The sequence below is a fragment of the Homo sapiens genome, chromosome 4 (genome assembly GCF_000001405.40).
Source record: "Homo sapiens chromosome 4, GRCh38.p14 Primary Assembly".
NCBI lineage: Eukaryota > Metazoa > Chordata > Mammalia > Primates > Hominidae > Homo > Homo sapiens.
The window spans coordinates 58997388-59016046 of NC_000004.12; the positions used below are offsets into that span (position 1 = coordinate 58997388).

Genomic DNA, 18659 nt, shown 5'->3' on the forward strand with positions numbered 1-18659 from the left:
TATCTGGCCTCTGTATCTTTCTAGCATGGGACTCTCTTTTGAGCCTAGCTTCTAAGGTATACCTTAAGCAAGTAGTACACAACTTTGCAGTGTTCTTACACAATTCTTCAGGACATTTTGCCACAAAAAAAGGCACAGTTTATGAGCTATGAAGATAAATTGAGAAAAACCTTCTTGAGGGATGGTTAGGTGGAATACTTTATAGTAATTTTGCAAGTAATATTTTCTGTAAGCATCTAAAGGACTCATGGGGTCCTGAACTTTTTGTCTTTATTTGTTCCCCAACCTATGGCAGCCTTGTTCTCCTTAATGAAGATGTGTTAGAGGTTATAAGAGGTTAACCAGATAAACTGATTGTTGTGATAGATGCAGGAGGCAGATAAGGAGGGAGGGGTGGTCCTGGGAGAATCTCCAACCCATCCTACAAGTGTTTACATCAGATGCTTTTGTGCAGATAAGGGAACCTGCCCAGGGTTTTGTCTGCTCATGCCAGCAGCTGGGAGATTGGGTGGAGCTAACGGGAAGTTTGTGCCTTGTGAAGGGAGGAGGAGCCTGACCTCTTCAGCTCCTTTGTGATGAGCTGGTATTCAATCTGTGAAGTGGGAGCCTGTTGGGACCCCTCCTTTTTTCACTGAGAGCTTTCTTTTAATAAATTCTGCTCTCCTCACCTTTTAATATGTCCACGTGCCTAATCTTTCTTGGTCAAGTGACAAGAACTTGGTTTGATCTGAAATAAGGAGCAAATATCCCGCACCAGTAAAAAGCGACTGTCACTAAATAGGGAAACTAGTGTATCCCTTTTGGTCCATAAAGTACTGCTATTTTAATGTTAGCCATCTGCTGCTACTGTTTTGGTATTTTGATAAATGCTAGGACTAAAAATTAGTGTCTTAGTATATATTTTATTACAAGGAAAGGGTTAATGAGTATGAAAAACAATGACTTATAAATTATACCATAACTAAGTGTTAGAGACTTCATAGAATGCCCTACAAGGAAAATACGTCTTCTAGAAGGTCTTCCTGAGTGAAGAATAATACACTAACAATGGAATAGCAGATCATGAGAAATCATTTTAGGGGGCTATTTGGAGATGGAATACTCTACCAATTTTGCTGAATTGGCAACTCCCTTCTCTATTTTTAAAACGATCCCCATCATTACTATATTATGATTAAAGATAAATATGGACAACTGTTGTCAAATTATAGTCATTAGCATATTGACATATTTTTGTTTCTCAGCATGACATTTACAATTCTATTGTGACTTATTGTGGTAAATATATTTTTTAAAAAAACATGAATCTGGCTTCTACTTAAGATATGTAAGTATGGATAAATCACTTAACCTGCCTAACATGAAGTTTCTTTCTAAGTAAATGGCATCTCATTGGATATCTGATAAGATTAATTAATAAGACATACCTGAGATATTATAAATATTGTAGGTACATTATATTTATTATTGCCTTGCATATTTGAAAGTAAAGCCCATTTTTATACCTCCTAAAATGCATTCATATCTTTATAGTTTTTGTTTTCCTAAAAGAAAAGAAGAAATTCAAGTTCTTTCTTCAATGGTAAATATTTACAATTTTAACTCATCTTATAAAAGTGGGTGATTTTCTTTAGGTCACAAAGTGTCAATAAAAATTAATAACATTTAAGTAACACTTCTTAATATTGTATTTTTGCCTGTGTTGATTCATTAGATCTCATATCTTGTATTTGAAATATAAACCTTTTTGTGTGCAATTTTTGTAGTTCTTCCTTAATTAAAACTAGTAAAGTCTACAAAACAGGAATAAGTAAGTGTTCTCATTTTAGAAATATGGCCCTGTTACATGAAGTTTTGGGGGGCTATTGTTTTGAATGAGGCTCCTAAACTAGGATCCAGCTGAAGAGACCAAACTAGAATGGAGTAACTAATGCTAGGTGCCGTGAAATCAAACTGAATTCAGAAATTTGCCAGTTTTCCAAAAGCTGGAGACTCACAGCAACCAATCAGAAGGTGCCTCCAGTTTATCCAAACCAGCATGAAAGAATGTCCCTCTACTTTAACCTTATAAGGAAAGCAGCTTTGAAAAGATGAATCTGTTTCTTGTTTTCTATTTCTGCTTTGTTCAGCCCTTTTTTATTTGTAAAGCCAAAATATTATGCTCAACTCATTGGAACACTCATTCTCTTTTATAAAACAAGATAGTGCTGGATTCTAGAATTTCAAATAAAATCCAATTAGATCTTTAATCAAAATTTGTGGTAATTTTGTCTTTTGGCAACCCCATATACACATAACTGTTCATGTTTTCTGTTAAAAAAATAAAAAGTCAATCACCTTATCAGAATTTTACCCAAAGAGTATTCTTTAGGTGGCAGTATTTTCTGTACAGGTGATCTAAAGCATTGTGTTTTCCTCTTCTCCGATTACCTGATGAATATAATTGAAAAGAAATGCAGCTTAGAAGAAAGCAAAAAAAATGGCAAAAATACATGTGTTACTTTTCATAGAATGCAATGTTTTATAAGTGTACTCTTATCCGGCAATGCCATTAAATATACTTCAATATCCTGGCTAGTACCTCATAATAAGATAATCTGTTTTTATGATTACAACAAAAAATATTGTATAACAGATGCCTTTCTCTGTTTCTAGAGGAACAAATCTTTATAAGAAAGATGCTATTTTGATAATTACTGTTTGGAATATAAATAATTTAAATATCTATTCTGTCCCTATTTTATAGCACAATTGTCTACATACGAATACTTTGAACATGAATTTAAACTTAATACAAAATGCTCCCAGACATAAGAAAATATGATATTGATGGTAAAAAAACCTCTTTTTTTTTTTTGGTATTTCACTCTCTTTGAATATTGACTAATTTAAGCACAAATGCAAAAAAATACAGAAATATTTTTTAAAATTACAAAAAGTAAAATAAACAAGTAGGGAAAAAATAAGAGATGAGTAGAAGTTAAAGATAAAAGATGGGATTAATGCAGAGAATTCATAGAAACTGGAGATTGCAGATCACACTAGGGTAGATAAGAGTTAAATAAAATGGTGAAATGAAGTGGTTACTAAGAGGTTGAAAAGGAAATATTCTTTAAGCATCTGTAGAGACAGTATGAGGTGAGCTGAATCTCTTGTTTTTGCTTGCTAAAAGATGGCAGAGAACATTTGATATTTTTCATGGACATTTTGGTCAATAGTATATCTTCACAGTATTACTTCAGGAAAATGCTAATTTTCCTGCTCTTTGCCATAATATGATCTGAAGAAATATTGATTTGTCTTGAAATTCCTTAAGACATCACAAAATTTACTACAGTAACATTGGGCAGACTGTATATGATAATCAGGAATGGGCACATATTTTAAATGAAAACTTGAAGGTAAGAGATTTTAAAATCCATACAAATTTATAGACCTGTCATCTCAGTAAATTTTCTGATGGTTCATTTCTCTGGAGCATATCAACATAGTCTGTTCATGGTGAAAAACAAGTTTCTATAGCTCACATGACCTGCCAGAAAAAACAAATTAGCATAGTGCCTGTAGTTGGCCTTTTTGGATTTTGGAGATACTACATCTGAGTGTGTTACTCTGACCAATCTACAGAGTCACCAATAAGGCTTAAAGTTTCAAATGGAGACAGATCAGAAGAAGGTCTGCAGCATGTTCAGGATGTAGTAAAAAACCACTCTTCAACTTGGCCCTTATGATCCAGCTGATCTAATGAGAACTGAAATGTCCGTGGAAAATACAGATGCTCTCTGCAGTCTCTGGCAAGGACAAATAGATTCACAGCACTAACTTCTGTGATGTTGGAGAAAATCTATGCCTTCATTTTCATAAAACAATTCTTTAAGTAAATGATTTTAGTTTGAGTTTGTATCAAATTTCTCAAGCCATAAGGTTTTCCCTTTGCCCATGGACCAGCATATAGGTTGGGAAGCATACTCGATTCTTACTCTCAATTCTCCACCGGTTTTTACTTTCTACCAGGCTCTCACTGGCATTCCCTACACTTGACATAGTTTTCCACCTGGGAAAATATATGTGGAGAATTACCTAACCATACATCTGCCTCTAATTTCCAGGATTTTCCTGTCACAAGAGTGGCTTAACTTTCCCTTCGGCTTGACTAAACTTCAGCTTCTTCCTGATTCCAGGCTTTTGACCTCTTTTTCTCATAGAGTATTTATTTCAGAAAACTTTTCATTATAATTTTTTTTTGTTCCTTTGAGATGTAAATATTTTAAAAAGCCTCTTCCAGCTCTTAAAAACCAGGATTGTCTTCTCAAAGACTTGGGGAGCTATCCGTTAAAAATGTAAGCACCAAGGAAGATAATGCTCCTATATCCCAATTTCTGTGCAGGAATGGAAGCCTAATTTGGAGTAGGCACCTTGCTCCAAGTTGTAAATCTTCTTCATGTCGTAAAGTTATGAGAAGTTTAGTTTTTCTTTTTACAAATTTAATTAGCAAACACAGATGGCCTACAATCTCCACATGCCAGCTCATAAAATCTCTCTAACACTTTGTTTCAGCAGAGTTGAGTTCAGATTGAGTTTTGGCCTCTCTGTTGGTTATGGGCTGAATTGTAGTCTCCTCAAATTTATATGATAAAACCCTGACCTCCCAGAACCAAAGAATATGACTGTATTTGGAGATAAGGTCTTCAAAAATAATTAGGTTAAAATAAGGCCATTTCTGTGAGTCCTAACAAAATCTCACTATTGTCCTTACAAAGAGAGGACATTTGGATAGAAAAAGAGACACATGGGGAGCAGGAAAAACTGAAAACACAAGAAAGCAGCCACCTGCAAGCCAGGGAGAGATGCGTCAGAAAAAGTAAAACAAACCAACACCTTTATCTTGGATTTCTAGCCTCCAGACTGAGAAAATAAGTGCCTGTTCTTTAAGCCACCTCATCTGTGATATCTTGGCATGGCAGCCCTAGCAAATTAACACACTCCCTCATTATAATGGCCTTGAATAGGGTCTGCCCTGCCTGTTTAACTTTGATAAAATTTTTGCTTTGACACCTGCTGGATTTCTTGCTGGATCACCTCTTGCTTTAACTAGGATCACAACTTCAAGCTAACAAAAGGATGGTTTTTCTCCATTTTTTTTTTCTACTTAAGGCTTCATTTAATTTTCAGATTTGTGGTTTTACACCCATCCTCCCACTCCAAATTGAGAACACCTTCTTTTGTAATCGGGAGCAAGAATAGTCATACCCCAGGCATTGTGGGACCCTCATGGTGAGTCTGACAATACCTGCTCTCTGCCCTTCCATCCTCTCTCCCCTGTTTTTCAAGCAACAGTGAAACATGGGTCCACTGTTGCCTGTGCTACCCAGTCATCTACCCAGGCACAATACGGCAGTGTTTGATTTGCATGATGGGGACAAGAAAAGGGCAATCGAGCAAGATATAGGAAGCCAGGAGATGAGAATCCATCCCAAGAAGAAGAGAGATAGTGGAAGCATATTCTTCATTTTCTTATTGCAGTTACTTACAAAGCAGAAATGAAGATACAATCAAGAATTTTAAAACAGCAACCACAGAGCATCAAGTCCCAACAATTAGGGAATCTGAGTTTATAGCCCCGTTAATAAAGGAGTTAAAAAGGACTTATTTAGGCAGATAGTGAGGGTACAGGAGTCCTCGGTAAAGCTTTTCTTTTAATAAAAAGCATCCCCCAAACTACTTCTTTTCTAACAGAAAGCAGCCTGAAAAGCCAAGCTGCAAGTATAGATAAACAAGCTGGAAGCTTGCAGAGGGGAATGCCAGCAGCTATACTAAAAGCCAGGTACACCCAATATGGTGACTCCCCCGCCCTTCTCTTGGTTGCCACCTGTGCAGGTGTCATGGGGCCAGCCAGGTAAACAACCCCATTTACCAAATAAAAGATTAAGGTGGGATGGCCAGTTTCTTCATGGACTATGTAAATGGCACACCTAGTCAAACCAATCCCTTGGGCTTTATGTAAATCAAACACCTTCTCCTCAAGCTTCTTTATATTACCTGCTGCTTCCAGCCATGAGTGGAGATTCCATTCCAAGCCCTCCTCCCTCTGCATGGGGGAGCTGTTCTCTTCTTTCCCACCTATTAAACTTTTCGCTCCTTAACCCACTCCATGGGCGTGTGTCCATGTAGTTAATTTTCTCACCGCCAAATGATGAATCTCAGGTATTTCCCCACGCAACAAAGCCACTTCACTGTGTGATTACACCAGTCACAATGCTTTATCCTATTCTTCAATACTGACTTAGAGAGCATGGATTACTCTCTCTGATTTACGCTTAAGACAGTTGCTAAAACAAGAGTATCAGTTAATAATCTTACGTATTCCTAGAAAGATCTTGGCCCAGCAGATGTTATGGTGTGCACCTGTAGTCCTAGCTATTTGAGAGGTGGAAGGATGGCTTCAACCCAGGAGTTCTAGACTGCAGTGAACTATGATAGTGTCTGTGAATATCCACTGCACTCCAGGATGAGCAACATAGTGAGACATCATCTCTAAAAAAAAATATTTTTTTTAAATGAAAGACCATGTCCCATATACATGCAGTAGAAGTAGTGGTAGTGGTTATATTTTAGTAAAGTTTGAAAAGACTATTGACAGGATTTTCTGGTAGATCAGATGGGGACCTGGGAGAAACAGAGAGTTCAAGAATATTTCTAAGGTCTTTGGTTAAAGTAGCTAGACAAAAAGAAGTTAGTAGTATTGAGAATTGGGATGGTTATGGAAAAAGCAAGTTTGGATAAAAAGTAGAAATCAAGAGATTTGTTTTGAACATTTTAAGACTGAGGTGTGTAAGAACTCAAGAGATGTTTTTGGATGTATGGACAATGAGGAAAGATGTGAATTAGGGAGTTGGGTATATAAATTTGGAGTTCAGGAAAGATGGCTCAATTGAAAATATAAATATCTGTGACCTCAACATATAGATTGCATTTACATGTTTATAATTGATTGAGATCACCAAGAAAGTGCATGTTCAGAGGGAAAAGAACTTATCCAAAGAACAAAACAAAACAAAACAAAACTCAGAGTATAAAATAAAGATTTCAGGGAGATGAAGAGATAAATAAAGAGCTGGAGCATAAAGCCACTAGGTCAAAGAAAAAGCAGAAAAGTACACACCCTAAAAAACAAACTAGAAAAGTTTTTTAAGCAAAAATGAGTGAGCAAATCTTGCTGTTTGGTTGATTAAAATCAGGATTAGAAATAACTGCCAGATTAACAAAATGCAAACACTGGTAATTTTGACAGGACAATTTTGAGAGGAGGTTAAACTCTATTGGAATAGAATGAGATAAAAATGTTGACACTGATGCATATAAAGCATTTTTCTGTCCTGGGAAGGAACAAAATGGAAAGGCACCTATATGTGACTACAAAAGCAATAATTCTTTTATCTCAAAATAAGAAAAATGATATGTGTTTATGTCATTGGGAATTTGAGGAGGAGAACACTGGGATGCAAGAGAAAGAGAAGAATTTCTGGAAGTGGAAGGAGAGGGTGCCTAGTTAGAGGGGATGATCTTTATTAGAAGCATGAAAATTGCTGTAGTAACAAAAGAGAAGATAGTGCATATAAGATACAGTAGATGAACACAGGTAAAGTTAGGTGGTAGAAATTTAGTTCTTTCTTTTAGTTCAGCACTGTTTAGGAGTGTTGAAGACAGGCACAAAAGCATGAATTTAAGCAGATTTAGTTTGCTAAGAAAATATGAAGAGGCAAGAGAGGAATAAAGGAGCTGAGGGCTTAGGTAAGGGCAAAATTGTAGGAAAGACCTATCGCATTTAAGTGAGTAAGAACAGAAAGAAGCGCCACTGCACTCCAACCTGGGCGACAGAGTGAGACTCCATCTCAAAAAAAAAAAAAAAAAAAAAAAAAACAAAGAATAGAAGCCCTGAAAGATAGAGAAGAGTAGGATCAACAGACTGTAGGTCCTGATGAGACTGAGTTTGTGTAATCAAGATATCTGGGTGAGGAAATGAACCAAAAATCAACAACAAAAACAAAAATAGTTGGAGGTAACAAGTGAGATAATTGAAATTTCTAGTTTTGCTTCTTTGGACACTAACGTCTACATTAAAATTTTGGATTTTTTTCAGAAATACTCTGATTTAATAAGTATATTCAAATATTTTATTACACAGTATAATCATTGAAAAGTACACACATAGTTGTTATATAATAAACGCTTGAACTATTCTCCCAAAATGTTAAGCGTGTGTGTGTTTGTGTGTGTGTGTATCAGATCAGATAATAACCATGTTAAGCTTTGTGGATCATATGGCTTCTGTTACCGATGCTGCTGTTCAGTGTTGCCAATGTAGCAGGAAAAAACAGCCATAAATAGTAAGTAAATAAATGACAATAGCTGTTTCAATAAAACCTTATTTATAAAAAAGCAAGAGATGGAAAAGTCTTGGCCCAAGGGTTTTTCACTTGTGACTGTCTTTACTTCTCAGGAAATTGTTAAAGTAAAATAAAATAATGTAAGTTGAATAGCTTAGCATGCTACATTTTTATGTTTGAAAACTGATCTTATCCCTCCCTTCCTTCCTTCCTTGTGTTTGTCCTTCCTACTCCTTTCTTTATTTTTTATATTCTACATTTCTTCTTATTCTTCCATGTCTGAAAATTTAATATATATGAAAGTGCATTTAGTTCAACGTATCTGTTTTGCTACTCTTAGCATATTTTTAAAACTCATTATATCAGTCTTCACCTCTTCGCATCAAATAATGACACAGATTTATTTTGACAATATCATGTATTATCAATTTTATTGCTTAATAAATAAAAGGCAAATTTGTAGTAATAATTGCATTTTTACTCTGGAAATATTATGAGGGTATTTTGATCCCATCCATCTCAAATGAGAGACATGTAAAGAATAAAAAGTAAAATGTTTTCAAAAGTGCATTTTCAAAGAAAAAATGTATTAAGCACTGAACAACATGCGGAATTTGAGGAAATATACATAATATGATAGTAATTATTTTTATTTTGGAAAGTCTCTCTAAAATATAGGAGGTCCTATGGTATCTAAGGTAAAAGAAAATCATAGTTAAAAGGTCCATACAAAAATATATTCAGTTGTGAAAATGAAAAATGCAGCTCTATTTGTGCTAATATAGATGTATTTAGAAAAATCTTAAATGAAAAAAACAGTACAGAGCAAGCATATAGAGTATTGCAATTTGTAAATATATAAGGCCAGGCATGGTGGCTCATGCCTGTAATCCCAGCACTTTGGGAGTCCAGGTCAGGAGGATTATTTGGGGCCAAGAGTTCAACACTAGCCGGGACAACATATGAAGATTCAGTCTCTATGAAATATTTAAAAATTAGCTGTACATAGTGGCACGTACCTGTACTTCCAGCTACTTGGGAGGCTGAGGCAGGAGGATCTCTTGAGTCCAGAAGTTTGTGATTACAGTGAGTTGTGATTGTGCCACTGCACTCAGCCCAGGTGACAGTGTTACACTCTGTCCCTAAATAAATATATATCTATATATATGTATATAAGTATATACGTTTATCTAAATATACACATATATACAATCTTTCATATAGATATAACTGCAAATATAGATATATGTATAATTGTGTCAATGTACAGACTGTCCCTGCTGAGATCTACAATAAATTGGCCATGGCAGCCACTGCCTCTAGAAAGACAGGTCTTAAGTGTGTGTAGATAAAGGACAGCAGAAAATTTTTTTACTGTTTTTTTGTTCGTTTGTTTTTTTTTTTGAAATCTTAAAGCTGGGTGTCTGGGGGAGACATCACATGTCGGCAGGTTCCCTGATGCCACCCGAGCCGTAAAACCAGCAAGTTTTATTAGTGATTTTCAAAAGGGGAGGGAGTGTACGAATAGGGTGTTAACTTCTTTGCATTTTTAACATCTTAGATGTTTTGCTATTGCCTTTTACAAAAGAAGGCATTTAAAGATATTTTAATATTTGCCTAAGTAGTTAATTAATTGAAGAGTTCATGTTATTGATTTTATGTTACCATTACAACCAACTCATTGAAAGGTAATTTACTCACACAAAAGTAGTAAAACATAAGTCATATGATGCTTTTACGAATTGATGCCCGCATAATTGGGTACAAATAAGAAGCAATCCCCGTATGAAGCTTGTTAATCGTGGCAGAGCTACATGATGACGTAACAAGGTTACTGGTTGTTATATGTTTCTGATGTTCAACAAAGAACTACTTTTTAATGAACTATAAAAGGAACTATTTCATACAAATAAATTAGTAGTTAATTTTAGGCATAATACCAATATGGACATCACAACGGCTTTTTATGGGTGTCACTTTTGTTATTTATAGGCAATTCACTAAAAGAAAAAGAATAGAGAGAAATAAGTTTGACCACTCATTATTAGAATTTAATTTTCTTTGAAAAGAATATGTTTCTGTACTACATATTAACAGTCATTTTAGAAATTTTATAGATGGTAGTATATATTATAACAGAGCTGAGGGGTTTGAGGAAATTTTTAAATTATATTTTATTAAACTTAGTTTATAAAATGAATGAAATACATATTTGATATATATAGAGAAGGTAAAATCAATGAGAATTGCTAAAAGAGCTCGCTATCTCATAGAAGTTTTTTCATTAGCTTTACTCATAATTTATATGTAATATAAATAAAATGCATAAAATAGTAATTTTAGCCCAAGACTTACTAAAATAATTCATATGTCACAAATATCTTGGAATATGCTAGCTGTATTTTCTTCCATGACACTGTTTTCTATCTTTTGAGATATTTAAGTGATATTTATTGTCACATTGGTTATTTTATTGCATTATAAATTTAATATAAATATATTCTGCAAAATTTAGAAAATATTCAGTTGGTTCTTAAAAAGTCAATTTAAAAAAAACAAACCATGTTTTGGTTAAAATTAATGAAATATATATTTCTATTCAGTGCATTTATATGAACGTTCACGTGCAGTCATAAAAAACTGTTGCAACTTTCTGCAGTCTAGGACATCATCATGTTGACATTCATAAAATATACATTTATTCCTCTAAATTTATTGAATTCATGCCTAGAGAATGGTCTAAAAACTGGACAATGTCATTCTCAATACCTTGGAATTTTTAAATTTTTCATAGTTTTACATTAAAGTACTAGACATATAATGAGGTACTAAATTGAAAAAATACATTTTGAATCTAAAGATAATATTTATTCATCTTTTATTTTGGAGAAATTAATCAGTGTATTAAACTTTAACTTACTGACCTCATAACCAGACTAAAATTCTAAGTCAATTTTTATCATAAATAGGACATTTTCAGAAAAAAACTACTTAAATTCTGCCTTGATATTATTACTATATTTCAAAAATTTACTTTAGATATCAGTTTGCCTTTATTCAAGAACTCTCAGTTTAGGACATATATGAAATCAAATTATGACTGTTTTACTATTTTTATTACCATATGTGTCCCATTCTGTTTGCTATTCTCAGAAAAATAACACAAGGGTATTATCCCTACTTCTCACCAGTGAGTTCCCCACACATTTCAAAATAATATGGACATTGCAGGCCCCAGTGTGTGATGTTCCCCTTCCGGTGTCCATGTGTTCTCATTGTTCAATTCCCACCTATGAGTGAGAACATGCGGTGTTTGGTTTTTTGTCCTTGCGATAGTTTGCTGAGCATGATGGTTTCCAGCTTCATCCATGTCCCTACAAAGGACATGAACTCATCATTTTTTATTGTGGGGTGGGGGGAGGGGGGAGGGATAGCATTAGGAGATATACCTAATGTTAAATGACGAATTAATGGGTGCAGCACACCAACATGGCACATGTATACATATGTAACAAACCTGCATGTTGTGCACATGTACCCTAAAAAAGTATAATTAAAAAAATAAAAAATAATAATATGGACATTGCATTATTTATTGGTAAATTGGCTTTCCATGTTGCTAAGTTTATAATCAGTATTTTCTACCTTTTCCCCCTTATTTATTTATACCAATATTGCATATTATCATTGTCTAAGACATCCAAGGTCATTTACTGCTAGCTTCATTTCTCTCAGGCTTACGAGCCTCCTTACAAGCCCACACATTTTATGGAGCCTTTTCTCACATTATCACTCTAATCCAGATCTTCTTTTTATTTCCCAGTATTGCCAATTAGTTCAGTATCTTTCCACTGTGTGATTGTGCTATAGCAATAGACATATGACCTGGCTCTATCTGCTAAGAAAAAAATATATTACTTTTGTTCAGTTCTGAAGGTTGTAGCTTGGAAAGTATCAAACAAAACACCAAACAAAAGTAGCCTTGGGAGAATATGTCTTCTAGTATAATAATTTTCTGTTCATTTTTAATATATGTAAATCTCAGTATAAAATTTGGTTTTCATATTTCTAGCAACACATAAAGATAATTTAATACATAATTTTGATATATGGTATCAGCTGGAGTCTAGAACTCTGACCTAGTGCCCAAACAGTCTAATTACTCTATGGGAGGTATTGACCTAGTCCTAAAAACTCAATTTTAATTCAAAGGGAGATCTAATGAGGAATGCAGTAGAGGCTTTGCAACACTTTAAATTACACATGTGGTTTAGCTTTTTAAATAGAAATTCCTATGGCCCATTTCTCAAAAATCAATGACAAAATCTATAATAAATTTGAAGTGTGGCACACACACAAAATGCTCATTAAGACCTAAGCATAACTTCACAATAGAAAAACTGTGCTATACTACCTCAGCTGAAAGTGAAATCTCAGCACAGCAAAAACACAGTGACAAACCAAAACTGCCTACATTTTTCTACTGATGGGAATAAAGAAAAAAATATCTTTATGCGCAACAAGTTCCTTACCTCTTCGACTACTTTTATTTCAACAAATATTTACAAATGACATATTATATGCATGACAGTATGATAGTTGTTCGATGTTAATGTTGAAGGACTGAACAGAGCCCTTGATAAGAAGCTAATTATGTAAAATATAAATTTGCTCTCATATAGAAATTTATATTGCTTATTCAAAATTTGCATACAGTGTATAATAAGTGATGTCTATTTCTCTGTTAGTCTGTAAGCTCCATGATGAACTGAAGCTCTTTTGCTTACTCTTCATCCCCATAGTCTGGCTTAATTCTCATCAGATGTCAAGGTTTCATAAACATTTGTTGAATAAGTGGATGACCCAATGCTTGCAATACAGGGCTGAATAAGATAAATATTCTAAAAATATGCTAATCAAAGAACTAGTGTTAATATCCAGTGACGAAATGAGGGAAATCACACGTGAGAATGGCTTTAAAAAACAGGTAGAATTGAGGCAGACTGACATGTGTAGAAGTATTCAAGAAGAAATATTCAAAGCATGCCAAAAAATTGGGCACACAACTGAGGAGGCAAATTTTGGTACTGAAGTGCTATTTGCTTTATGGATATGTACATCATCTGTGTACAGCTTTTAATATCTGGGTCAAGGGAGAATGACTGACTTCTGAGCCTCTTTCTCCTAAGCTTTTTATTGTTTCCACATATAAATCTAATACATTCACTTGTGTTTGTTTGGGGGTGGGAGAGTGTGTATGTTGAATGAGAGTACTTTTCTGGAAATTGATATCATATGGGAACAAGGAATATGGATATGAAATTTGCTGTGATTCTGTAATGTAGGCAAGCTTGCAATCTTTATTTCCAAGATTGAAATAATTTCTGTTGATATTGTATAGGTGGAATAATCTCAAGGGAAAAATATAACAACTGAGAAAGAGTAGAAGTATCTGGGTGTTAATAGGAAATGTTGCTAGCACAATGTCACTGTCGATGTATACTATGGAAGAATGTGGCCTAGAAAAAAAGGATGAACATGAGACAGCCAGGGAACAAAGCGCATGCAGTAATAAGTGACAAATATCAAAAGCGTTCTTTTAATAAACTTTAGTTTTAGAACATTTTAGGTTCACAACAAAATTGATTGGAAGGTACAGTGGCTTCTCATATACTCCCTACCTGTACACATACATAGACTCCCCCATTATCAACACCTCACACAAGAGCAATACATTTGTTACAATTGATGAGTCTACACTGACACGTTCTTATCACCCAAAGTTCATAATTTACATGAAGGAACACACTGGTGTAATGGAACCTAGGTTTGGCTGCTTGCTCTTTGAAAACCAAACTCAAGGGACAAGAGTGAAGAGGAAAAGCAGGTTTATACAGGAGCCAGGCACTCAAGAGGATGGTGAACAAGTATTACCAAGACCATCTCAAGTCAGAACAAATTTCAGCTTCTTTTTATATTGAAGGTGGGGTGAAGAAGCAGGGGTTGGGATGAAGAGGTGACCAACAAACACAAACATTAAGAGTACTAACAAGAGTTGTAGGAGGTTGGGAACATTTTGACTGTGGTCGGGTCAAAATTTCCCTATAAATTTTTTCTTTTATTAATTTTTAATTATTAAGGGTACATAGTAGTATTATTAGATGTGTTCCTATTTGTTAGTTTGAGCTCCTTATATATTTTAGTTATTAAACCCTTGTCAAATAGGGAGTTTGCAAGTATTTTCTTCCTTTCTGTGGGTTGTATCTTCACTTTATGTATTGTTTCATTTGGTGTGGCAAAGCTTTTTGACTTGATGTGATTCCACTTGTCCATTTTTTGCTTTGGTTTCCTGTGCTTTTGGAGTATTACTCAAGAAATTGTTGCCCAAAACAACGTACTGGCAGGTTTTCCCGATGTTTTCCCTTAGGGAGTAGCTTTAGGTCTTCAATTTAAATCTTTAACCCATTTTGATTTGATTTTAGAATATGTTGAGAGATAAGGGTCTAATTTTACTCTTTTGCATACGGATATTCAACTTTCCCAGCACAATTTTTTTTTTTTGGAGAGACTCTTCTTTCTCCAGTATATGTTCTTGCCACCTGTGCTGAGCCTACTGTAGATGTATGGATTTATTTCTGGGTTCTCTATTTTTTCCATTAGTCTATATGCCTGTTTTTATGCCAGAACCATGCTGTTTTGATTACAGTAGCTCTGTAGTATAATTTGAACTCTGGTAATGTGATTCCTCAAGTTTTGTTCTTTTGCTCAACATGGCTTTGGCTATTGTGGGTCTTTAGTGGTTCCTTACATATTTTAGGTTTACTTTCTTCATTTCTGTGAAGAATGTCATTGGTATTTTGATAAGAATTGTATTAAACAATTCTTATTTTGGGCATTTTAACAATATTGATTATTCTAACTCATGAACATGAAATATCTTCCCATTTTATTATGTCTTCTTTAGTTTCTTGCATAAGTGTTTTTGTTTCATAGTTTACATTGTAGAGATCTTTCTCTTCTTTGGTTAAGATTAAACCTAGGTATTTTATTTTACTTGTTGCTATTGTAAATGGGATTATGTTCTTGATTTTTTTTCAAATTGTTCACTGTTTGTATATAGAGATGTTACTGATTTTTGTATTTTGACTTTATATTCTGCAATTTTACTGAGTTTCTTTATGAGTTCTACTAGTTTTTGTATGTGTGGAGTCTTTTGGTTTTTCCAAATAATATTATATCATCTGAAAACAAGGATGATTTGACTTCTCCCTTTTAAGTTTGGATGCTATTTATTTCTTTATCTTGTGCAATTACAAGGGCTAGCACATCCAGTACTGTGTTGAGGAACAATGATGAAAGTGGACAGACTTGTTGTGTTTCAAATCTTAGAAGAAAGTCTTTCAGTTTTTTCAAATTAAGTATGATATTAGTTGTATGCCTATTATACTTGTCTTTTATTATGTTGAGATATGTTTCTCCTACATCCAGTTTTTTTAGGGTGTTTATTAGGATGAGTTGTTAAATTTTATTTTCTTAAGTATCAATTAAAATGATATATAATTTTTGCCTATCATTCTGTTGATAATGCTGTATCATATAGATTGATTTGCATATATTAAACCATTCTTGAATTACTGGGATGGATTCCACTTGGTCGTGATGAATGATGTCTTTAATGTATTGTTAAATTCAATTTGCTAGTATTTTGTTGAGAATTTGTGCATTGATATTCATCAGGGATATTGACCTATAGTTTTTTAAAATTTTTTTTTTTCTGATTTAGGTATCAGGGTACTATTGGCCTCATAGAAAGATTTTGGAAGTATTTTCTCCTGCATTTTTCAGAAAAGTGTGAGTAGGATTGGTATTATTTTTTAAAAAATGTTTGGCAATATTCATCAGTGAAACCAATGCATCTCAGGTCTTCTTTGTTGGGAGACACACATATATATATATATATTTATGGCTTTGATCTCATTACTTATTACTGGTCTATTTAGGTTTTGAATTTGTTCTAGGTTTAATCTTGGTAGGTTTTATTTGTCTAGTAATTTAGTCATTTCTTCTAGCTTTTCCTATTTATTGGTGTATAGTTGCTTATTGTAGTCTCTGCGATAGTTAATATTGAGTGTCAACTTGATTGGATTGAACGATTGAAGGATACAAAGTATAGATCCTGGGTGTGTCTGTGAGGGTGCTGCCAAAGGAGATTAACATTTAAGTCAGTGGGCTGGGAAAGACAGACCCATACTTAATCTGGGTGGGCACAATCTAATCAGCTGCCAGCATGTCTAGAATATAAGCAGGCAGAAAAATGTGGAAAGAGGAACTGGCCTAGCCTCCCAACCTACATCTTTCTCCCATGCTGGGTGCTTCCTGCTCTCAAAATTGGACTCAAAGTTCTTCAGTTTTGGAACTCAGACTGGCTCTCCTTGCTCCTCAGCCTACAGATGGTCTATTGTGGGACCCTGTGATTGTTTGGGTTAAAACTTAATAAACTCACCTGTATATAAGTGTGTACATATGCATATGTATGTATGTGTATATATATATATGTTATATATGTATATATATAAGTTATATATGTATTTATATATGTAAATGGAATATATGTATTAGTTCTGTTCTTGTAAGAGAACCCTGCCTAATACAATCTCTAATGATCCTTTGAATTTCTGTGGTATCAGTTGTAATGTATCCTTTTTTATCTCTGACTCTTTTTATTTTAATCTTCTGTTTATTATTAGCTAGTCTCGCTAAATGTTGGTTGATTTTGTTTATTTTTTCGGAAAGTCGACTTCTTATTTCATTTTTGTTTTGTTATTTTGGGGGGATTAATACATTTATTTCTGCTCTTATCATTGTTGTTTCTTTTCTTCTAATTTGGAGTTTGATTTGTTTTGCTTTTCTAGTTATTTAGGATGCATCATTAGTTTGTTTATTTAAATTTTTCCTCATATATATATATATATAGAGAGAGAGAGAGAGAGAGACAGAGGGAGCACTTATTGCTAGAAATTTTTCTCTTAGTACTGCTTTTGGTGTGTCACGTAGGATTTGATATGCTGTATTTGCATTTTCACTTGTTTCCAGGATTTTAAAAACATTCTTGTGAATTTCTTCATTGACCTCACTGGCCATTGAGAAACATATTGGTTAATTTCCATGTGTTTCTGTTATTTCCAAAGTTCCTCACATTGTGCATTTCTAGTTTTATCCTATTTTAGTCAGAAAAGATGCTTGATATGATTTTAATTTTTTGAATGTTTTAAGACATGTTTTGTGATCCAATATAGGGTCTATCTCTGAGAATGTTCCATCTACTGAAGAGAAGACTGTGTATTACAGCCACTGGAAGAAATGTGCTGTAAATATCCATTAGGTCCATTTGTCTATAGTGCACATTATTCCTATGTTTCTTTGTTGATTTTCTGTCTGGATGATCTATTTAATGCTGAAAGTGGGGAGTTGAAATATCCAGTTATTATTTTATTAGGGTCTATCTCTCTCTTTAATATTTGCTTTTCTATCTGGGTGCTCCAGTGTTGGGTGCATATATATTTACAATTTTTATATTCTCTTCCTGAATTGACCTCTTTATCATTATATAATGATCTTCTTTGTCTCTTTTTATAGTTTAATCTTGAAATCTATTTTATCAGATATAAATGTGGCTATTCCTGCTCTATTTTATTTCCATTTTCATAAAATATATTTTTTCATCCTTTTATTTTATTAAATAAAGATGTATATCTTTATATGGAAATCATGCTTTTTTGCAGGCAATAAATCATTGTGTCTTGTTTTCATTTTTTAAATCCATTCAGACACTCTGTTTTTTGGAGAGTTTAGTGCATTTATATTCAGTGTTATTATTGAAAGTAAAGACTAACTACTGGTATTTTGTTATTTATTTTCTGGTTGTTTTACAGTCTTCTCTTACTTTTTTTCTCCTTTCTATCTTCTATTTTGTTAAGAGGATTTTCTCTGCTGCTGTGTTTTAATTTCCTGCTTTTTATTTTTTGTTCATGTGTTGTAGGTTTTTTTAGTTTGAAATTACCATGAATTTTTATAATAACATCTTATACTTATTGTTTTAAGCTGATTACAACTTAACACTGAATGCAAAAACTAACAAGCAAAGAGAAAACTAATAAAACACTCTGCACTTTAAATACATCTCCTTAACTTTTTGTTGTTTCTATTAATGTTATACTGTTTATTTCTTGAGAAGTTGTTATAGTTATTATTTTTGGTAGGTTTGTCTTTTAG

General features: G+C 33.7%; 1 long non-coding RNA gene across 2 annotated transcripts in view; it reads left to right on the forward strand.

Moving 5' to 3' along the window:
- Positions 1-18659, forward strand: part of LINC02429 (long intergenic non-protein coding RNA 2429) — a 62678-nt gene that overhangs the window by 13106 nt on the left and 30913 nt on the right. Inside the window, exon 1 of one of the 2 annotated variants that reach the window (NR_133942.1) lies at positions 16186-16238. The exons of the other annotated variant lie outside the window; for it this stretch is intronic. This is a non-coding gene — a long non-coding RNA (long intergenic non-protein coding RNA 2429). Of the gene's footprint in view, positions 1-16185; positions 16239-18659 lie in introns of those variants that run through there. 2 annotated transcript variants of the gene reach the window in all.